Source organism: Homo sapiens, chromosome 1, assembly GCF_000001405.40.
Source record: "Homo sapiens chromosome 1, GRCh38.p14 Primary Assembly".
NCBI classification, from domain to species: Eukaryota; Metazoa; Chordata; class Mammalia; order Primates; family Hominidae; genus Homo; species Homo sapiens.
This window is the reverse complement of record NC_000001.11, coordinates 201,498,656-201,520,605: the sequence shown is the minus strand read 5'-3', so window position 1 is coordinate 201,520,605 and position 21,950 is coordinate 201,498,656. Positions and strand designations below refer to the sequence as shown.

Genomic DNA, 21,950 nt, shown 5'->3' with positions numbered 1-21,950 from the left:
TTCTTTTTTTTTTTTGACTGTAAGTTTATTCATCGCATAATAATCCTCTCCAATTTTACTGAGGTGGCTGACCACGTCCACAACCAAATCCATCTCTGAACTGGAATTTGGTTGCTGACCCGGCCCCAGCCTCGGCTTTCTTGTTGGCACCAGGGGGCACAGCACTCCGTTTGTAGGTATCTCTGTTGGCTTCCCCTCTTGTGAGTCTTGCAGGTCGCTCACCCTCCAGACTTTAGGCCAAGGCCTGCCAGTCTCTGGACAGCTGCGGTGTAAGGTGGCAGGCACAATCTCCGAGGGCAGATGAAGGTAATCACAGAGATACTGGATACCCTCATTGGTAAGGTACCAGTAGAAATGTCTCCAGGCAAACTTCCTTCACGTAGCCTCGGGACTTGAGAGACTGCATGGCCTTCATGACACGAAGGTTGGGCGCATTCTTGTCTGCCAGCTCCGGGTGCTTAGGCATGTGGACATCCTTCTTGGCCACCATGACTCCCTCCTTAAAAAGGAGTTCATAAATGGCAATCCAGTTCTTCTTAGGCATCAACATCTCGGTGGCTGTAGGGTCCGGGTGGGGGGCTGGAAAGGCACGTTCTTTCTTTCTAATAAAACTTTCCTTTTTCAAACCTATACTGTTGTCAGTAAATTCTTCCTACCAACCCATGAGTCAACCCCCCCTTTTTTTTTTTTTTTTTTTTTGAGACTGAGTTTCACTCTTGTGGCCCAGGCTGGAGTGCAATGGCACGATCTCGGCCCACTGCAACCTCCACCTCCCGGGTTCAAGCGATTCTCCTGTCTCCGCCTCCCGAGTAGCTGGGATTACAGCCACGCACCACCACACCTGGGTAATTTTTGTATGTTTAGTAGAGACGGGTTTTCACCATGTTGGCCAGGCTGGTCTGGAACTTTGGAAATCCTGACCTCAGGTGATCCACCTGCCTTGGCCTCCCAAAGTGCTGGGATTACAGGTGTGAGCCATTGCGAGCGGCGAGTCAACCACTATTCGACGCGGGGCTCTGACACCTTACCCAGCACCGATGACTTTATAAATAAAATGTCCTATGTCCGTGCATATTATTTGGCAATAAAAAAGGAATGAAGTATTTATACACGTTAGTGAAAGAAATAAAAATATTTCACCTTAAAATATCCTTCTTTGACATATTTTGAGACAGCTGTTCAAAGGGCCTTGCAAACAGAAGTAGCCCTGCAAAGCTGTCTTTGGTGGGAGAGATTTGCATCAGTGGATAAAATCTTCACTTATGTGGGGCTTCTCTTTAGATTTAGGAACAATTAACTGAGGCTCTGACACCTTTAAAGGTCGAAAAGAAGTATTTACCATCAATTCTTTCTGAGGGCTGCTACCTGTGAGATTTCATCTACCTAACAAGACCACTTATGCTAGCCAGGCCTCATCTTTTCCCCCTCCCATAAGGTGTCTTGCCACTAAAACCTGCTTACCACTATAATCTGTTTTTGGCCATGCTCTGAGTCCCCATTCATTTTGTAACCTCAAGATGGTATGGGCCGAGAATGGTGGCTCATGCCTGTAATCCCAGCACTTTGGGAGGCGGAGGCGGGCGGATCACTTGAGGTCAGCAGTTTGAGACCAGCCTGGCCAACAGGGTGAAACCCCATATCTCTACCAAAAACTACAAAAAGTAGCCAGGCATGGTGGCATACACCTGTAGTCCTAGCTACTCAGGAGGCTGAGGCAGGAGGATTGCTTGAATCTAGGAGGTGGAGGTTGCAGTGAGCCGAGATTGCATCACTGCACTCCAGCCTGGGTGACAGAGTGAGACCCTGTCTCAAAAAAACAACAAAAAAAGATGGTATGTAAGCTCCTATACCCCACTGGGAGGTTAGGGTAACTCTGCAGTACTCCCCCGCGTGCATGTTGATAAATTTATATGCCTTGTCTCCAATTAATCTGCCTTTCATCAGTTGTTTTTTCAGTGATCCTTCAGAGGGCAAAGAGGAAGCTTTCCCTTAAGTTATATAAAATAAACTAGACACAAAAGACCACATATTGTATGGTTACATTTATGTGAAATGTTCAGGCCAGGCGCGGTGGCTCACACCTATAGTCCCAGCAGTTTGGGAGGCCTAGATGGGCTGATCACTTGAGTTCAGGAGTTTGAGACCAGCCTGGGCAGCAAGGCGAAACCCCATCTCTACAAAAAATACATAAAAATTAGCCAGACTTGGTGGCCTGCACCTGTAGTAGTCACAGCTACTGGGCAAGGGGGTAGAGGGTACTGAGGCAGGAGGATTGCTAGAGGCCAGGAAGTGGAGGCTGCAGTGAGCCGTGATTGCGCCACTGTGCTCCAGCCTGGGTGACAGAGCCAGGCCCTGTCTCAAAAAAAAAAAAAAAAAAAAAAAAATCGGAACAGGGAACAGGCAAATTTATAGAAACATAAAGTGGATAAGTACTTGTGTAACCACCCAATGGCTTCTCCTTGCCTGATACGCAGACAGAGCAGATTTATCAAGACAGGGGAATTGCAATGAAGAGTTTAATTTACAAAAACTTGGTGAAAGAGAGATAGAAGCTTTATTATTACTCAAACCAGTCTCCTGGAAAATTTGGAGACTGGAATTTTTAAGGATAATTTGGTGTGTAGGGGGCCAGGAAGTGGGGAATGCTGATTGGCTGGGTCAGCGATGAAATCATAGGGGGTCAAAGTGGGATTTTTCTTCCTGTCCTCTGTTCCTGGGTGAGATCCCAGAACTGGTTGAGCCAGATTACCGATCTGGGTGGGGCCAGCTGGTGCATCAGAATGCAGTGTGAAAAATGTCTGGAGCACTGATCTTAGGTTTTACAATAGTGATGTTATCTTTCGGAGCAATGGGGGAGGTTCAAAATCTCGTGGCCTGTCTGCATTAATCTTTTGAGACTGAGTCTCACTCTGTCGCCCAGGCTGGAATGCAGTGGCACGATCTTGGCTCACTGCAGCCTCCGCCTCCTGGGTTCAAGCGATTCTCCTGCCTCAGCCTCCCGAGTAGCTGGGACTACAGGCCCCCGCCACCACTCCCAGCTAATTTTTGTAATTTTAGTAGAGACAGGGTTTCACCATGTTGGGCAGGCTGGTCTCCAACTCCTGACCTCAGGTGATCTGCCCACCTCGGCCTCCCAAAGTGCTGGGATTACAGGCCTGAGCCACTGTGCGCCCGGACTGTCAGCATTAATCTTGAGGCTAATTTGTTAGTGCTACACAAGCAGTCTGGTCCCCAAGCAAGAAGGGGCTGTGTTAAGGGAAAAGGCTGTTTTCATCTTTGCTTCAAAGTTAAGTTATAAGCTGAATTCCTCCCAAAGTTAGTTTAGCCTCTGCCCAGGAATGAACAAGGGCAGCTTGGAGATTAGAAGCAAGATGGAGTCAATTAGGTCGGATCTCTTTCACTGTGATAATTTTCTCATTGCTGTAATTTTTGCAAAGACAGTTTCAGTTGCTAGGGATGTTGCAGGAAAAAGCAGGAGTGATTGCAAATGGGTACAGGCTTTCTTATTAGGTTAATAAAATGTTCTAAAATGGTCTGTGGCGATGATTGCAAAACTGTAAATATACCAAAAACCATTGAAATGTACACTTTAAAAGGGAAAATCATATGACATGTGAATTATATCTCTTTAAAAAAAAATGTTATCATATACCATATGTCTATGTGGGCTTCCAGCAACTCTTCTGGCGCTCCTGGAGTGGCCAGGTCAGGTATGACTAAGAATTCATGGTATGGCCTCTCTGTATTATCTGACTCTCCTCCCTCCCTCCCTCTCCCCCCCTCCCTCCTTTCTTTCCTTCCTTCCTTCCTTCCTTCCTTCCTTCCTTCCTTCCTTCCTTCCTTCCTTCCTTCCTTCCTTCCTCTCTCCTTTCCTTCCTTGCATGAACTAGATGCTACCCTAGGCACTGAGCATACAGATATTGACCAAGATCTAATCCTGTCCTCAAAGAGTTCACAACCTCATGATTGTCCTCAGCCCCCTGTAGCAAAGGAAACTTTTATTGGGACCACTTCTTTATACCCTGAGCTATGAAGAGTAAATCTAACCTTTCTAAAGTCACATACATCTGCACTTAGTGGGGGCTCAGGTGATGGAGCTCCAGTGCTCATAAGCAAGTGAAAAACATAAGGTAGATTTAATATCTTGTAGTTCTTTAGTCCTTCTCATTGCCAGGGTGGGTCACAGAATGCCCATAGTAAAGGAAGCCAAAGTCTCCTTCCTCTTTGGGTCTCAGGGTCCAGATATTGTGTAGCTGGAAGCTCACTACTGAGACACTCAGCAGCTGCCAGGCAGGCAAACTCCCTATTTCCCACACAGCCAAGCTTGACCACCATTATTCCTGGCTCGTGCACCCTTTCCTATAAAGTTGGTGGTTGACATGGAAGATCCTGGACATTCAGGTCATAGTGCCATCAAGGGCCTTGGGCTGTCAACCTCTGCTGTGGTCCTTGATCTCACTCCCTATTCATCTCTGTGAAGCTGCCTTCTAACCTGGGGCTGTGTCTTATCTCTGACCCAGCTCTTGCTCATGCATGATGACTGCTCCCTGCTTCCCTGTATTACCCCCAAATGATAGCTGTTATGCCTTGTGGTTGCTTGTGAAACTGCCTTTGCAAAATTATAACTGAGGAAATTATGACAGTAAAGAAATCAGACCTACCTAACCATTTTGCTTCTAACCTTTAAGCTGTCCTTGTTCATTCCTGGGCATAGGTGGAAATAACTTTGCCCTGAAGGAATTCAGTTCATGATTTGACTCTAAAACAAAATTAATAATAGACCTTTCCCAAAAAGACCCTCTTCCTGCCTGGGGACCAGTCTGCCTTTGCAGGGCTAACAAATTAGCTACAAGATTCGAAATTACAGTTTAGGGGTCACGCAGTCTCTGGCTTGAAGAATCTGAACCTCCTTAAATTGTTCCTAGGGATAACACTACTGTTGTAAAACCTAAGATCAGTGCTTGAGATATCTTGCAGACCCTACACTCTGGGTGGATCAGCTGACACAACCCAGAACTGTAATCTGGCTCAACCAGTTCTGCCATCCCACCCAGGAACAGAAAATAGCACAAAAAACTCACTTCGACCCTCTATGATTCCATCTCCAACCTGAGCAATTAGCACTCCCCACTTCCCAAGCCCCTACTTGCCAAATTAAAACTCTGATCCCCGAATGCTCGGAGAGACTGATTTGAGTAATAATAAAACTCCAGTCTCCTGCACAGCCGGGTCTGCGTGAATTACTCTTTCTCCATTGCTATTCTCCTGTCTTGATAAATCGGCTCTGTCTAGGCAGCAGACAAGGTGAACCCGTTGGGTGGTTACACTTGTGTGCTTATCTTATCTCTCTTGCTACAATACAGTTTTTGTTAACTGTTGCTTTCTGGTTTGGCCCCTGCCTACTACTGTTTTTGAGGACTCAGCTTGGACACAGCATCTGGTTATTCCTGGTCACTTGCTATAAGAACACAAAGTCAATTCTCCCCCCTCTAAGAATCAGTCTTGGTAGGCCTTCACCCATGATTGCTAGTCCACTGCCTTTGCCAGCTGTGAGCTGCCATCCATCCCAGCCTCCTGTCTGCCCCTTGGAGTCCACTTCAAAAGTCATCTTCCTCTTCCTCAGCATCTTCTCTTCGAAGAAATGTTTCTCATAAGTCTTGGTGAAGATGGCTCAGTAAATACTTCTAAAACCTTATGTTTTCCCTTAGCAATGCCAAGTCTGTAAAAACCACTTTCTTTCCTAAAAATGCATTTCTGAAGGTACCATCAATGAAGATCTCTGCCTGAAATGACCTTCCTGCCAGCAGCAAGTTGTATTTTCCCCAAATGGTTGCAATAATGCTTTCCATTCCACATACTCTTCCAGAACCTTGCCACTCACACATCAGGAAATGGAGTCTCTGTCCCCTTCTTTGAAACTGGGTGGGGCTTCGTGACTGTCTCAACTAGTGGAGCACAGGGGAAGATCTGCTATGGGCCTTGCGAAGCCAGTTTTCAAAAGGCAAGACAACTTTCTCCTGCTATCTCTTGGGATGCTTCTCCTTGCAACCAGCCACCATGCTGTGAGAGAGTCCAGGCCCCATGGAGAGACCACATGTAGGGGTTCTGGCTAACAGCCTCAGCTGAGGTCCCAGCTGACAGCCAGCATCAGCCTCCAGCCACAGGAGTAAGGGAGACTCAGTGAAGAATCCAGCCAGCTCTCATTTGACTGTAATCACAGGAGAGATCCCAGCAAGAACAATCGGCTGAGCTTGGGAAAACCCTAAAACCATGAGAGAGAAAAACAAATGACCGCTCTGTTACACTACCAAGTTTGGGGTGGTTTGTTGCAGAGCAATAGGTAACCAGAATGCTGTCCATCTCCATACATTATGAGCCTAACCACCCTTTATGGCCCAGCTCATTAGCCTGTCATCTCCCATGTAAGCCTTCTCTGATCCCCACAATGGAGTTCTCTCCCTGTCTGAACTCCCGGTGCTCTTCCTGTGCCAGTCTCCTCTCCCACATCTGGGTGCACACTTCAGCTCTCCCCTCCCTGTAAAGTCTCCATTCTCCATTCATATCTCTCGGCACCTAGCCCAGTGCTTGGCACATAGTGGGTGCTCAATACAGGCTTTCTCTGTCTGGATGCGTGAAGGATAGGGAAAGGGATCTTGGGGAGAGAACATCTACCAGTGGAGAAGAGAGGGTCCTGAGTTGCAAAACAGCTTCCAGGGCTTTCAAAGGCCTTTTTCACTGACTAGTGTCCTAGGACATTTTTGGCTTCTCTGCTAAGAATGTAGGATATGAGTTAGAGTCAAAAGGATTTATGAATAAGTATCAAGTTGTCAGAGGTGTTTGAGCTGGAGCAACTCCATCTTGTGTAGGGGATGTGTAAAATAAGGCTGAGACCTACTGGGCTGCATTCCCAGACGGTTAAGGCATTCTAAGTCACAGGATGAGATAGGAGGTCAGCACCAGATACACATCATAAAGACCTTGCTGATAAAACAGCTTGCAGTAAAGAAGGATGCCAAAACCCACCAAAACCAAGATGGCGACGAGAGTGACCTGTCCTCACTGCTACACTCCCACCAGTGCCATGACAGTTTACAAATGCCATGGGAACGTCAGGAAGTTACCTTATATGGTCTAAAAGGGGAGGCATGAATAATCCACCCCTTGTTTAGCACATAATCAAGAAATAAGCATAAACATGGGCAAAAAGCAGCCCTCAGGGCTGCTCCGTCTATGGAGTAGCCATTCTTTCATTCCTTTACTTTCCTAATAAACTTGCTTTCACTTTACTCTATGGACTTGCCCTGAATTCCTTCTTGCGTGAGATCCAAGAACCCTCTCTTGGGGTCTGGATTGGGACTTCCTGTAACAAAGGGCTCCTTGGAAAGAAAGGATTGTCCAAGCTGAGGGTTTTCTTAGGATTACAGTGTATGGCCACTTGGGGGAGCCGAGGTGCGGCGAGGTGTCTTTCACAAGTTCACCAGCAGGTGGCAAGCTTATTCGTGGTTTCTTGCAAACTATGGATTTATCCACGCACACATTCATAAAATACTGAGCACCTACTCCATGTAAGGCTCTGTGTGGCTACAAAGGAGGGTAAGCTACAATTCCTGCCCTCCAAGACCTTCCAGGTGAGTGAACTCAATGTTTCCTTAGCTTGTCTTTGGGTTGAAATAGTTCTTCAAAAGTCATCCAATCCTTTCTTCTGTCAGTGTAATTTAATATAATCGACCCTGATGGAGGAGAGGAGTCAAGAGTCTTGCCAAGGCCGGGTGCAGTGGCTGACGCCTGTAATCCCAGCACTTTGGGAGGCCGAAGTGCACGGATCACCTGAGGCCAGGAGTTTGAGACCAGCCTGGCCAACATGGTGAAACGCCGTGTTGCAGGGTTTCTACTAAAAATACAAAAATTAGCTGGGTGTGGTGGCGCATGCCTGTAGTCCCAGGCTGGGAGGCTGAGGCAGGAGAATCGCTTGACCCCAGGAGGTGGAGGTTGCAGTAAGCATAGATCGCCCCACTGCACTCCAGCCTGGGCAACAGACTGAAACTCCGTCTCAAAAAAAAAAAAAAAAAAAAAAAAGAGTTTTGCCGAAAGTCTGGTTATTTTCAGTCTACTTCACTGCTTTAAGTAGATTGGCCAGGTGATCATAGATAAGATCAGAGCAGTGAAGGTGGTGTGGCTAGGGACCAGGAGAACAGGGAGAAAGAGATTTTAAAGCAGGAGGAAAGCAAACTGATCAGTAGATTAGGAGCTGGCGTGATTGGAACTGGGCCTGTCAGAAAAGCCTCTCCTGAGCCTTCAGCCAGCTCCCTGTGGCCACACTTCCCTAGAGCCTGTCAGGCTCGGAACAGTGGAGCCATGCACAGCCAGCTGCCCGGGAGCTCCCTGCCGCCTGCTCCCGCCCTGAGTCCCCAGCTCCTCCTGCTTTCCCCTCCCCACACTTTGGCTGTGAGAGCCACTCCACAGTTTTGCCTGTTTGGGACAGAGGCAGTGGCTGCAGAGGGAGCAGGAGGGAAGTGACCTTACATCAATTTCAGGCCAAGGGGAGGGGAAGAGGAAGTGGTCATTTAAAAACCTATCTAGACTGTTTCACAGTGTTCTTAAGGACCCAACCCTGAGCCACCCCAGTGCATTTCTGAATATCACCTTTCAAGCTCCCCTGGAGCTTCACAGTGTAAATTTCAGCCTGAAAATCAGAAGAGATTTCTGGATCAGGAACCCCCTAGAGTTTTTATTTTGTTCCTTTCTAAATGGATTTCTCCTTTTCTTGCCTCTAAGCATTTTATTCTTATAACATGTATACACTGCCTTTTCCGATTTTCATTTGCCTCTGGCTGCCAAGCTCATTTCTCCAGCAAACCCTGAGAGATTCTAGGAATCTTCCTTAGAAAACATGAATACAGGGACTGAAAGCAAATGCTGGGCCTTATTCCACAAGCCCCCTTTGACTTGCCTCATCCTAGCCTAGGCACAGCCGAACAGTGCCAGAGCCAGGGAGAGCCTTGCAGATCACCCACGTGGGTAGGCGGGCCTAGTCATATTCCCAGGGGCCCACAGAGATACTACCCACCAAGCACGATACATTTCCTAAGAACTCCATTTCTCTGAACAGTAAGTAATTTTATTTATTTATTCATTTATTTTTTGAGACAGGGTCTCACTTTATCACCCAGGCTGGAGTACAGTGGAGTATAGTACGGCTCACTGCAACCTCTACCTCCTGGGCTCAAGCGATCCTCCCACCTCAGCGTCCCTAGTAGCTGGGACTACAAGCATGCCACCATGTCCAGCTAATTTTTGTATATTTTGTAGAGACTGGGTTTTACCATGTTGCCAAACTTGGTCTCAAACTTCTGGACTCAAATGATCCACCTGCCTCAGCCTTCCAAAGGGTTGGGATTACAGGTGTGAGCCACCGTGCCTGGCCAGTGAGTCATTTTAAACATTATCTTTTTATGAAGACAAATACAGTTATGTGCCAAGGAGAATGCAAAATTCAAATAAATTTTTGCAATAAACCCCAAGACTTCAAGGACTGGGAGTGGATTGATTCTGACAACACTGTGGGTTCCTTACATTTACTTCTTTGCTGTCAGAGGTACCTCAGTGGAAATTTTGGAGAATACTGAGTTAGTCCAACCTCCCATTTCACACATGAGGAAAACTGAGGCCTAGGCCATGGTCACAAAGCTACTAAGTTAGCTACTGCTGTAAGCCCTGGTCTCCTCACATGCAAAGCAGGGGGTAAAAATAGTCCTTACTTCATACAGCTACTGCGAAGATTAAAGGGGACAATTGTGTAAAGTACCTGACAGGTAGTAAATGCTTAATAATTATAATTATTCCTCATTATCAACAGTATTTTATTTGTTTTTTGTTTTTTTGAGACACAGTTTCACTCTGTCACCCAGGCTGGAGTGCAGTGGTTGGATCTCGCCTCACTGCAACCTCCACCTCCCAGGTTCAAGCGATTCTCTTGTCTCAGCTTCCACAGTAGTTGGGATTACAGGCACATGCCACCATACCCGGCTAATTTTTCTATTTTTAGTAGAAATGGGGTTTCACCATGTTGACCAGGCTGGTCTTGAACTCCTGACCTCAAGTGATCTGCTGGCCTTGGCCTCCCAAAGTGCTGGGATTAAGGCATGAGCCACTGCGCCAGCCATCATTAGTATTTTAAATCATAGATGACAGAGCTGAGACTCAAACTGCAAGTTTAGGGCTGGATTTTTTTTTTCTTTTTTTAGACCATTAGATGAGTAAACTTCTTGAGGTCAGGATCCAAATTATAGGCTTCCTTGTATTCCCAGAACCTAGAGACCAGCACAGAGTGGGGCCCCAATAAATGTCTTCTGAGTGAATGGTTGGATGGATACATGGATGAACAGGTGGATGGACGGATGGATGGATGGATGGATGGAGGGAGGGATGGATGGATGGAGAGACAGATGGATGAACAAATGGATGGATGGGTGAATGAATGAATGGATGGATGGACAGATGGATGGAAGGATGGACAAGAAGATCTCCAGCCCAGACTGGATCTCTAATTTCTCTGGGATGATGAGCAGAGCTAAGCCAGACACATTCCCTTACTCTTTCCTCAGCCTCACACTCAGGTCCTCTTCACTTGGGATCAATGCGGAAAAGAAGGGTTTCACCACAGGAGAGGAGAGAGAAGATGTAGCATCAGGATGCTGATGAGGGAGGAAAGAGAAGAAAAGATGCCAGAGGAAGCAGCAGACAAAGTTGGAAGCTGGAGGACAGGGGCCCTACTTCCTGCCTGTAACAGGCCCCACTTCATTCCTAGCAGCCATCAAATACCAACCCAGAAGTGTTGGGAAATAGAGTGCACAGAGAGAACATAAAGATACTGAAAAGGTTAGACATTTGTGAGAGTCCTGAGAAGCAGGTAAGCCCCTAAGTGTGCCAAGCCTCCTTCTAGAACCCCTAGCAGATAATTTATTGGTGATGAGCTCTGACTGCATTGTCTCTGCAGATGTGGGTGCTGCTGACCAGCTCGGGCCAGTCTAGATATGGTTATATAAATGAGGTCAGCCAGAATGAGAACCTCTGCAGAATGAGAATCTCTGCCTTAAGGATGTCCCAAGTATTGATGATGTTTACTGATTTTTCTGTCATTTCAACATCAGGCTTGTTCCTGTTTGCATGGTGGGTAACCCCAGCATCACCTTTGACTCAACTCAATCCCAAAGCCCTTCCTCATCCCTCAAGTCTTCTTTATCTGCAAATGTGCTATCTAAGACCAAGCCCAAGTAACTGGCAGCAGGCTGGGAGAATAATATAGTCAGAAGGTGAGAGGTTCTGGAAAAACACCAAACAAGGCAGGTCCTACTTGGCTTCATCTGTAGCTCTGCGTAGACAGCTCCTAAGACAAGTGACCTGACAGTCTTTGGGTGGAAAAGAGGGGTGACCATCTGCCCTGGACTGCCTGAGATAGTCCTGTTGCCTTAGTGTAGTTACGAATACTACCACATACCACTTACTATCCAAAGCATTCTGGTTTAGATGACACATTGTACAGCCATTCTGTTTATAAGGTGCTTTAAGATCTGGGAGAAATCCAAGTGTGACTGCAGTGACTGCTCTTCTTTTTCTGGATCTACCCTAAAGCCATTTCACAGCACAGGTTGGCATGTCCTCACAGGGAAATCTATCAACAGTCCCATGACTCCAGAGAGGACAAACCCAGACCAAAGAAGGTAATGTAGGAGTTTGCCCTTTTGTAAAATCCTGGGCAAAACTCCGAGGCTCATCTCTCCAAGATACTGAGAATTGAAAGGAGAGGGGGAAATCCCATGGGATCGCCATCTTTGGGCGGAAGCCCTTGGTCTCTGACACTGATGGTGGTTCTGCAGTTTAATGGACCTGTTTAACTATTGCTTAGTCAGTGCAGCCGTGACCAGAAATTCTTCTGGTTTCTCCTCCTTCATCTTGGTTGGGTCAGATGAAGATGGCCCAATCTGCAAGAAACACTGGTTGTGTGCTTCTAGACATTTTAATCTTGGAGGGCCTTGTTTATAGGATGGACCTGGCCAAAGGAAAGATGTTACTTATGGTAGAAAGCAAGAAAAACCTAGATAAACACTTTTTTTTTTGAGAAACACTCTTGCTCTGTCGCCCAGGCTGGAGTGCAGTGGTGCAATCTTGGCTCACTGCAACCTCTGCCTCCTGAGTTCAAGTGATCCTTCCACCTCAGCCTCTCGAGTAGCTTGGATTACAGGCACACACCACCACGCCTGGCTAATTTTTTTAATTTTTTTGTAGAAACAGGGTTTCACCAGGTCTCGAACTCCTGGGTTTAAGCAATCTGCCTGCCTCGGCCTCCCAAAGTGTTGGGATTACAGGCGTGAGCCACAGTGCCTGGCCAAATACTTCATTTTCTAGATCATAAGATGCTTAACTTTATTCCTGGCAAAAAGTTGATTCAGCAAACCAGGGCTTTAAGTGAAGCCGGTTGGGGCCTGAACCCTTGACACCTGCCCAGGGTGGAAGACATAGCAGCTGCATCTATGGGCCACCTGGGGTGTAGGGTGACCAGCTGGAGGCTGTGAGCTTCTCTGCTCCCTGAAATGCCTGCACGGGGCACTCAGGAAGGGCTGGGGACTGGGTGAGGAGGTGTGGACAGAATGTCCCCTGGAAACTGCCCCAGGGGCAGCTTGAGTGGCCTGAGCCTGTGTCTGTCCTACTGAAGGTTGGAGCCCCAGAGAAAAGCCTCTATGGAGGCACCCACTTTTCAGAACTGCTGCTTTTGCGGGAGAACACCTTTTTCCAGGTGTTGTCCTTAGGGTAGCAGGGAAGACTGGGAAAAACTGAGGGGCAAGAGCTGTTGGAGGGGGGAGTTACATTTATTGAGTGTCTATTACATGCCGGGTGCTGCTGAAGGTCTGCGGGTCCTACCGGATCTCCTTTTAGCCCCTCACATCCCTGTAGATTACACGCCGTTCACAGATGACCCTGAACCCAGAAGGGCTGTCTAGGCCCAGGGCCCAGCTAGTGAGTGGATGGGCAGAATCAGACCTGCCCTGGAAGGGTCTGTCTTACCCTGGCGCCCAAAATGTGTCCCTCACCCTCTGCCACCAGGACAAGTAAATTCGAGACACCCTTTCGTTAGGGGCTCAAGTTTATCATGGGTCTGACCTCTAAGGTCATATCTCCGCCTTCTCACCTGACAGACAGGAAACTCCTGAAATGCCCCTCGCACGTGCAAGACGTTTTCCGCGGTGGCGGCGACAGGGCGCACAGTGGGACCGCAGCACGAGCTCGGAGCACCCCCAGAGTCGGCGACTCCTGCCCCCGCCCCTGCCGGCCGGCCTTCCCGGGGCCTAGGAGGGCAGCACCGCCGGGCTTCGCGCCATGACATCAGCCCTGGAGTGGTGCAGTGTGCAAAGCCCACTGGTTGGCGTGGCCCGGGACACGCCTTCCGCGGAGCGGAACAAAACGGCGCGCAGGCCGGGCGCACCCAGCCGCCACTTCCGAGAGCGCCTGCCGCCCCTGCGCCGCCGAGCCAGCTGCCAGGTGAGTGCGCCCTGAGTCGCGCGGCTCTGCCCGCCGCGGAGGGGCGCCTGGGCACGCACTCAGCGCCTCCCGGTCTTGCCAGCCCCGCCGCAGCCCCGGGGCTGTCGCAGGCGGGGAACTGTGAGAAGTGACCGCAGTTAGCCCGGGCAGTGCTGCTCTTTTCTGGAGGCACTAGGTCCGTCCCCATCCCGGGCCTTCCTGGGCTTCCTGGACACAGTTGACTTCCGCGTGTGCGTGACCCAGGGCGACCCGGCTCCCCGCAACCGCCTGCAAGTCGGGCAGAACAATCGGCGATTCTGCGCGCCACTGACGCTCATTGTATGGCAGAGAGATGAGGGCATCCGTGCCACCCCCTCCCTCACCCTCCTGCTGGGGAGAAAATGCCCGCGGGCGGGGTGGGGCAAACATCTGGGCCTGACCTTGGACATCTGTGTCCCTGAGCGCAGGTGTGAGTTTTCCCTCTTGTGAAATAACTGCATGGAAACCTCTCCACTCCAAATCTTGGTGCTAGGTGGTGATGGTTACTGAAACCTGAAAGAGCCTGCAGTCAGTGTTTTGTGGCCTCAGTCCTTGAAAGCTGGGAAGTGATAAAGGGGCTGGTATTGAGCACATTTAAAGCAAATCACAATGTGTTAGCTAACAATCAGCCCTCTGAGGCAGGTATTGTATCTACTGGTACAGACTAGAGAATATTTTGCATGCTTCTGGTTCTGGTGCTGTTGTGAACTAACCAGGACCCAGGAATCGGCTGGAGCAATAGTGGGCTCAGGCTCTGCCTAGAGCCCTGGGCTCCAGCCACCCACCAGCTGCTCCCTGAGAGTGAATGAATGGGCAGGCTCTCCCCACGCTGGGATACTATCACAGTGGCACCGAGGAAATCCACTGGGCCCTGGTAGAAAGTATATCAGTATATCATGAAGAGGTGGCTTGGAGTCTTGGTGGGATTGTTTGGAAGGCAGAGTTTTGACTCTTGGATTTGCCACTTAACGCGCAGGTTTCCTTGGACAAACTATTTAACTTCTCAATGTCTCAGTTTCTTTCAGGGATGCTACTTGGGGAGCATATTACACAGAACCTCCAACACAGGAGTGATCTCTCAGTTACTGTCTTTCTTGTCCTCCCCTCATCCCTTGCCTTCCTCCCAGAAGCTAAGGAGGCTGGAGGTGCTGGTTGTCTCCCTCTGTCCTCTCAGACTGCATGTTGGGGATTTTCCCCAGGTGGGATTTGGGGATGGGTACTGAGCCTCCCCTCAACTGCTCTCACTCAACTGCTGCCTCCTGACTCTCCAGCTGGTTTCTGGCTACCTCTTTTGAGAGAGACTGTCCTCAGCCCTCAGCTGCTGGAGGGCAGCTTTTACCCATTGTTTCCTAAATCCAGCCTCCTCCTGCTCACGGTCTTCCAGTGAATGACTCTTTGCCTTGGAGAGGATATCCGGGGCGGAGGCAGTCAGACGAGGAAGGAAGTTTATCCTGCAGAGGGTGTAGTGTGGGTTAGAGGAGAGGGAGGAGAGAACTGTCTGCAAGGCCTGAGATGCCCAGGATGGAGGGTATGGGGAAGAAGAAGCAGGAGAGAAACTAAAGAGAAGGCCCATCAACTCTGCAATTGGCCTGCTAATAAAATGGGAAAAACAGGGGTGCTGTGGCCTATTTGCCTGTGGTCTGTCTTAGCACCTGCCTTCCTGGCCCAGGTGTTTGCTCTTTTAATTGCACACATGTGCATCTGCCTCTGGAGCTAGTGAGTCCTGACTGGGCCAGAGTTGCAGCCTGGGAGTGTAGTGACACTTGACTGAGTGATCAGCAAACATTTGATGAATGAGTGGGGTAGCAATGGTCTTTCAGCTGAGTTGGCCTACGGGATACTCATAAACCTTGCAAATAGTTACTAGCCAGTTTTTCCACTTGGGTAGATTGACAAGCAGGTGAGAGAAAAAAGGCGTAGGTTTTTTTTGGGCTTTTTTGTGTGTTTTTGTTTTGAGGCAGTCTTGCTCTGTCACCCAGGCTGGAGTGCAATGGCGTGACATTGGCTCACTGCAACCTCTGCCTCCTGGGTTCAAGCGATTCTCCTGCCTCAGCCTTCCAAGTAGCTGGGATTACAGGTGTCTGCCAATATGCCCAGCTAATTGTTTGTATTTTTAGTAGAGACGGCATTTCGCCATGTTGGCCAGGCTGTTTTTGAACTCCTGACCTCAGGTGATCCACCTGCCTCGGCCTCCCAAAGTGTTGGGATTACAGGCATGAGCCACTGCGCCCGGCCTGGTGTTTTTTTTTTTTTTGGAGACAGCGTCTCACTATATTGGCCAGTCTGGTCTCGAACTCCTGGCCTCAAGTGATCCCCTCCCTGTCCCCACCACCATCTCAGCCTCCCAAAGTGCTGGGATTACAGGCATGACCCACTGCGCCTAGCAACATAGTTTTTAATTCACTGTCCATCCCTGGTGTGGGAAGCAAATTGGGAAGGCTTTTCTGGCAGGTTGTTAAAGTTTTAAATATGTATGTAAGCCTAGCTTATTGTGAAACGTTGGCTTGCTAGATGAAGACACATGCGTTAAATATTTTGGGATCCAAAGAGGTGCTAGTGAGAATAAGACTTTTTCCTCCAAGTCAGCCATTTGGCATTACTCAGGGCATATTGTCAAATATCAAAAGAGATACAAACCTGAACGATAAGTGTTAGAGTTGGCCTCTCCTTAAGATAAGGATAACCAGATATCTGCACTTGCAGTGTACCAGACAGTGTGAGAAATACTTCACATGTGTTATCTTGGACAATTTATGAGGTAGCTACTGATGCTCTCCATTTTACAAATGGAGAAACTGAGGCTCAGAGGTAGTAAGAAACTTGCTCAGGATCACAGCTGATCAGTTGTGGAGCTGCCATTCAAACATAAGCTGACTGTTTCCAAAACGTATGCTCAGTCACTACCTTATTATTTTTCTTTGCTCCTCTACATTTCCTTTTTCCAGATCAACTCACTAAGGAAATATCTGCCATTTGTGAAACACATCAGCTTTACAAGGTGCTTTACAGTGGCTTATAAACTATTTAAGGAAGATATCTTTCACTTGGATGGATCAGGGTTAGAACTCCTGACCTCCGGGTTTTCAGTCTGTTGCATGGCCAGGTAGGAGCAGAGGGGACCCCTGAGAGTTAGTTCCCAGCCACTAATGGATATGCTTTCACCAGCTCTGCATGTTTGAGTTTCAGAGCCAGGTTTGCAGAAAGAAAACAAGCCTGGAAAAGAGCGTGCTTGAGAAAGAGAGAGCTAGCAAAACTTGAGGGGAGGGCAGAGAAGGTGAGGTGGAGGGGTCCTGGGTTCCGACTGCTGTTTCTAGTTGTCAAGAATTTATATGGTAATGACGTGCCTGTACTACGCAGCTACCCAGGAATGTGTCTGACGCCAGCACTGAGTAATTCCCATGTATGGTAAAGTGTGTAAATACGGGGGCAGCTAGCATTTCCAGACTCTGGTATTTCCAGTGCTTCCCCAGGGCCAGAAGGCAGCGTCTGAGTCTTCAGCGGTGACAACAGGGGAAGAAATGGAAGGTTAGCAGCTGGAGCTCAGCCCCAGCTAGGCAGCCAGCACCCCCTACCCCCGACTGTGTGCCTGGCTTTCTTTATGCAGGGGTGGCGTGTGTTGGTGCTTCCTGGGATGTCAGCTGCAAACGACCTGTGTTTTTAAGGCCTAAGTGCTAATGTGTTTTAACTTGTAAAAAATTAATCAAAGAAAAATCATTCAGACCATTTTGTTCAGCATGGAATAACCAACATCATTACAGATCTGGATAAAAGCAAGGAAACCCCATCTGTTAATTTGTCTATGAGGCTTTATTATAATACAGGATTTCCTGTAGAAGTTTTGAAATACTACAAAGAAGTCATCGACCTCCATTTCTACCTGTGTTGACCTTCAGACTTCTTTTTTTTGAGACAGAGTTTCGCTTTTGTCCCCCAGGCTGGAGTGCAGTGGCACGATCTTGGCTCACTGCAACCTCTGCCTCCGGGTTCAAGCAATTCTCCTGCCTCAGCCTCCCAAGTAGCTGGGATTACAGGTGTGCACCATCACACTCAGCTAATTTTTTTTTTTTTTTTGTATATTTAGTAGAGATGGGGTTTCACGCTGTTGGCCAGGCTGGTCTCAAACTCCTGACCTTAAATGATCCACCCACCTCAGCCTCCCCAAGTGCTAGGATTATAGGAATGAGCCACTGCGCCCTGCAAACTTCTGAACTCCAAGAGTAGGGAGCTCTGCTCTAGAAGGCACTGGGGGCAAGTGGGGAAAGGGAGAGACATATACCGCCCTTGTCAGCTCACAGTCTCACAAGGGCCACTGGACATGGATTTGAAAAGAGAAAGCTCATTCAATAGAGAGAAGGATTCCTGACCTAGAATGACAGTCAAGTTCTGGAGGCCCATGGGGCCTGGATTGATGGTAGCTCAGTGATGCTGGTTACCTTTTCAGAGAGGCGGGTCATGTGCACGGTTCTGAAGGAAACATGAGGTGGGACATGGAAAGCTGAGGCCAAGCCTGCCCCATCTCCATGGCAGCCATTCTCCCCCTACCCGTGACCCTGAGCTTCAGGAGAGGCTGATTTCCTGAGCTCTCAGGTGTCACTTCTAAGACTTGGCTCTGAGCCCTGACCAGCCCAGCCCCCTCCTCTCTCTGCCCTCAGCTGCTCTCTGGACACTGGGGCGTGGAGGCAAAAGCCGAGCTGCAGATTGGAAGGGATGCCAGCCCTCCTGTCCACCTGGCAGATACCAAGCAGCTCAGCTAATGCGAGGGAGCTAGATAAACATCTGACAGGTTTCTACTGGAGCAAGTGGATGGGGACTTTAACCCTGTGCCGTCAGTCACTCTTTGGCCCTAGGGAATAAATGATTTTGGAATGGGAGAGATGGGATTTTTCCACTGTAGAAATAAAGATATGGGATGGTTTTGAAGGGTTTGATAAGAAGGGGCTTGCCTTCAGACACTGGTGGCTGGCAGTTAGGGATTTTACATCTCTGCGATGGTTCCTTCAACCTGTCACCTGAGCCAGACTTTATTTATTTATTTATTTATTTATTTATTTATTTATTTTGAGACTGAGTATTGCTTTATTGCCCAGGCTGGAGTGCAGTGGCAAGATCGCTGCTCACTGCAACCTCCATCTCCTGTTTCAAGCAATTCTCATGCCTCAGCCTCCGGAGTAGCTGGGATTACAGGTGCCCGCCACCATACCCGGCTAATTTTTGTATTTTTATTAAAGATGGGGTTTCACTACATTGGCCAGGCCGGTCTCGAACTCCTGACCTCAAGTGATCCGCCTGCCTCAGCCTCCCAAAGTGCAAGGATTACAGGCGTGAGCCACCACACCCAGCCGAGCCTGACTTTCATGAGATTTGGGGTGACTGAGAGTCTGTGACCTTTTTCTTCTCCTTTTGCTGCTGCTGTAAGAGCTGCCACCTTGGCTTTCTTGTCTCAAGGCTGAGGATCTGGGTACAGTCCTAACTGGGGATCTGGGTACAGTCCTAATGGGACAGCCAGGCTAGGAAGATGCAGCAGCAGACACAGCAGGCTTCTAGCCGCCAGCCGTTTCAGGAAAACAGCTGACCAGGTGTTTCCAGCCATTCAGTAGAAAATTCAAGCTCTGTTCTCTGTTGAGATGGTCAACAGAGTGAAATGGGACATCACAGACAGCTGGGGGGAGCTAAACCCCAAAGAAGGGCAAGTAACTTGTCCCAGACTCATTCGCTGGGCTAGCAGATGAATCAGGAGTTCCTGGCCCTATTTGGCATGGTACTTCTTAAGCCTCGCTCCTTCCATATGTGGACTAGCTACATGTGGATGGCTGGCCCACATCTAGCAGTGTGGAGTCGACGTATGACTGGTCCAGTCGTGTGAGTGGTAGTCAGAGGGGCGGGCACTTACAGTGTGCTGGCCATCACTTCCATACCTCCTCATTTAATCCTTACAGCTGAATTTTAGGGAGTCCATATACGGTCCATTTTAGAGACAAGCAAATTGACACTCAGAAAGGAAAGTAACTTGCCCAAGATCATTCAGCTAGGAAGGGGTAAATCCATATTGATCGAATCCCAGCTCTTGTTTTCCTAACCATTGACCTGTACAGCCTGAACTCTGACCTTGGGAACTTCTCTTGTCCCAGCCTTCTGCAGGGCCTCTGTGCCGGAGAGCTGGGAAGGCAATTAAGAAGGAGCCAAGTGTCCCTCTAAGGCACTCCATGAACTCTGAGAAACAGGTTTCCTTTTAAGGCAATTCGGCCTCCCTACAGGCAGAATTTGGCTGTTGGAGAGAAGGGCAGAAAGGGAGGAGGTGGAGTGAAGACTGAGCCCTGCCTGTTGCCAGGGTTCCCTCCAGCTGAGCCTCTTCCCCACAGGCAGGGTCACCTGGAGGGGTCCTCTTGTGGGCAGAGGGGGACAGGACCTCATCCACAGGCACTGCCTGAAACCCTTCCTGGCTAGGGATAGAGTCATCACTTTTCATCTCAAGGCAATAGAGCCCTGTCCTTTCACTGGGCTCTTGAGGGGAGACCCCCCACCCTCGCCCTAACTAAATGACCAGGCTCAAAAGAGCAGCCTGGCTAAGAGACGTCCTGAGCAGATTTTCCTTACTGGCAGGTCCTTGGGTTTCACCCATTTCTCCGCCCATGTTCTTGATTCCCTGGGGCCCTGCTGGATGTGGGCCCCTGACACGGAGCCAGGGAAAACAAGGGGAGGCCTGTATGGAGCTGTGGGTCTCCCCCAGAGGGAGAAGGGCTTTTGTGTCTGTAACAAAACAGTGCTTGGAACTGGCTCCCAACCATGTGGCTAGGGGAATTTTCCTCCCTTAGGGGTGTTCCTAGGGGCCTGAGTATGTCCCCTGCTGGTTCAGGGGGTTGGAAAAGGAGAAGGCCGAGGAAGAGGGCCAGCACTGATGTATTGTATGCCTATCATGAGCAGCCCCTCTTAAATATGCAAGGGCCACAGCATGGTGACTGGGACCCAGAGGATTCAGAAATAGATGAGCTTGCATTAGAATCCCAGGTCTATCTCTTCCAGCTGTGTGACTATAAGCAACTTGCCTAACCGCTCTGAGCCTTGCTTGTCTTGTCTGTAAGGTGGGCATACATTCTTTATCTTCGGATGATGAGGATGAAATGAGATGATGTGGCTGGGAGCAGTGACTCATGCCTATAATCCCAGCACATTAGGAGACCGAGGCAGGCAGATCACTTGAGGTCAGGAGTTCAAGACCAGCCTGGCCAACATGGTGAAACCCTGTCTCTAATAAAAATACAAAAATTAGCCGGGTATGGTGGTGGTGGCGGGCGCCTATAATCCCAGCTACTCAGGAGGCTGAGGCATGAGAATTGCTTGAACTCAGGAGATGGAGGTTGCAGTGAGCAGAGATTGTGCCACTGCAGTCCAGTCTAGGTGACAGAGTGAGACTCCATCTTGAAAAAATAAAGAAATGGGATGATGCAGATGAGCCATCTGATGCATAGTAGGCATTCAGTCCATGGCAGTGTGGGTGCCATGGCTGAGTTCCAAGGGTCACATTGAGTCACCTTATCAGAGGGAGAAGAGAGCTTGTGTGGGTCTGTACAACTGGATACATTATTCACAAGAGCTTCCCAAGCAGACCTCCCCTCACATCTCACTGGCCAGAAATGGTCTCAGCCTGTTCCTGATCCAGCCACTGGCAAGGGAATGGAATCTCCATGGTTGGCTTAGGGGACAGAGGCTCTGTTCCTCCATCTGGGGAAGGGGCATCTCCCCAGTCATTCAATGGCCTGAATAAAATCGGGGTTTTGTAGCAAGGAAGAAGGGGGAAATGGCCGATGATCAGGCCGACCATAACACACATTGCTGATTGCTGTTCCTGTCTAACTGTCCTTCACATCGTACGGTTTTCAGCTCCAAACCTTTGCTTGACAAGGGCAGCTAGCAGTCCTCAGTACAGAAAGAGGCTGAAGGAACAGTGCAACATCAGAGGCTGGGAATGGGGACTGTCCCTGGATCTGGGGGCTCAGGCCGCATGGGTTATCTGAGGAAGACAGAGATGGGGATGTGAGCAGTTACAGAAATTCCTGCGGGGCATGTCAGCGATGTGTGGGAGCCTGAGGAAGTGCGGCTGCTCCAGAACCTGGGAAAGGGAGAACTGGGCTTATGCAGCAGGCATGGTCTACCTAGATCCCCCAGCATCACTAACACCACTTCCCCACAGTAAGCTCTGCCTCTCAGCCTGCACACGCTTACCAAGCACCTCCACTAGGAGCCAGGCTCTGCAGAGATTCACCATGCAGAGAAAATGGCCCCAGAAGCTGTGGCTTTCGATATTAGTGCATCCTTCATTCATTCCTCAGCTATTTCCTGGCCACCTATATGAACAGCCACGTGCCAAGTGCTATGCAGAGCATGGGGACAGAGTGGTG

At 49.0% G+C, this 21,950-nt stretch overlaps 1 protein-coding gene, 2 long non-coding RNA genes and 1 pseudogene across 8 annotated transcripts in view, besides 4 other annotated features; 2 read left to right on the top strand and 2 right to left on the bottom strand.

The window, feature by feature from the left end:
• Nucleotides 1–10,882, top strand: part of LOC124904484 (uncharacterized) — a 30,422-nt gene extending 19,540 nt beyond the window's left edge. Inside the window, exon 2 of the long non-coding RNA XR_007066793.1 lies at nucleotides 10,605–10,882. This is a non-coding gene — a long non-coding RNA (uncharacterized LOC124904484). The remainder of the gene's footprint in view (nucleotides 1–10,604) is intronic.
• The window catches only part of CSRP1-AS1 (CSRP1 antisense RNA 1), a 27,572-nt gene extending 14,179 nt beyond the window's left edge, over nucleotides 1–13,393 (bottom strand). For 2 of the 3 annotated variants that reach the window (NR_160747.1, NR_160748.1), the window contains exon 1: nucleotides 13,187–13,393. This is a non-coding gene — a long non-coding RNA (CSRP1 antisense RNA 1). Of the gene's footprint in view, nucleotides 1–3,836; nucleotides 6,263–13,186 lie in introns of those variants that run through there. The other variant, NR_160746.1, reaches the window with a different exon arrangement.
• On the bottom strand, nucleotides 4–702 carry RPS10P7 (ribosomal protein S10 pseudogene 7; annotated as a pseudogene). Its single transcript, NR_026667.1, has one exon. The product of NR_026667.1 is annotated as a ribosomal protein S10 pseudogene 7 (transcript).
• Nucleotides 1,744–2,255: an enhancer, noted in NCBI's record as "H3K27ac-H3K4me1 hESC enhancer chr1:201487479-201487990 (GRCh37/hg19 assembly coordinates)". NCBI's record gives its function as "activates a minimal SCP1, AML or CMV promoter by ChIP-STARR-seq in primed H9 embryonic stem cells {active_cell/tissue: H9 hESC(primed)}" and the evidence as "EXISTENCE:reporter gene assay evidence [ECO:0000049][PMID:30033119]".
• Nucleotides 8,181–8,390: an enhancer, noted in NCBI's record as "active region_2321". NCBI's record gives its function as "activates an Ori minimal core promoter by ATAC-STARR-seq in GM12878 lymphoblastoid cells {active_cell/tissue: GM12878}" and the evidence as "EXISTENCE:reporter gene assay evidence [ECO:0000049][PMID:35858748]".
• Nucleotides 8,541–8,620: a silencer, noted in NCBI's record as "silent region_1693". NCBI's record gives its function as "represses an Ori minimal core promoter by ATAC-STARR-seq in GM12878 lymphoblastoid cells {active_cell/tissue: GM12878}" and the evidence as "EXISTENCE:reporter gene assay evidence [ECO:0000049][PMID:35858748]".
• Nucleotides 13,152–13,781: a silencer, noted in NCBI's record as "silent region_1692". NCBI's record gives its function as "represses an Ori minimal core promoter by ATAC-STARR-seq in GM12878 lymphoblastoid cells {active_cell/tissue: GM12878}" and the evidence as "EXISTENCE:reporter gene assay evidence [ECO:0000049][PMID:35858748]".
• Nucleotides 13,483–21,950, top strand: part of CSRP1 (cysteine and glycine rich protein 1) — a 23,594-nt gene continuing 15,126 nt past the window's right edge. For 2 of the 3 annotated variants that reach the window (NM_001193570.2, NM_004078.3), the window contains exon 1: nucleotides 13,483–13,536. The gene's annotated coding sequence lies outside the window, so the exon portion shown is untranslated. Of the gene's footprint in view, nucleotides 13,537–13,766; nucleotides 13,983–21,950 lie in introns of those variants that run through there. The other variant, NM_001193571.2, reaches the window with a different exon arrangement.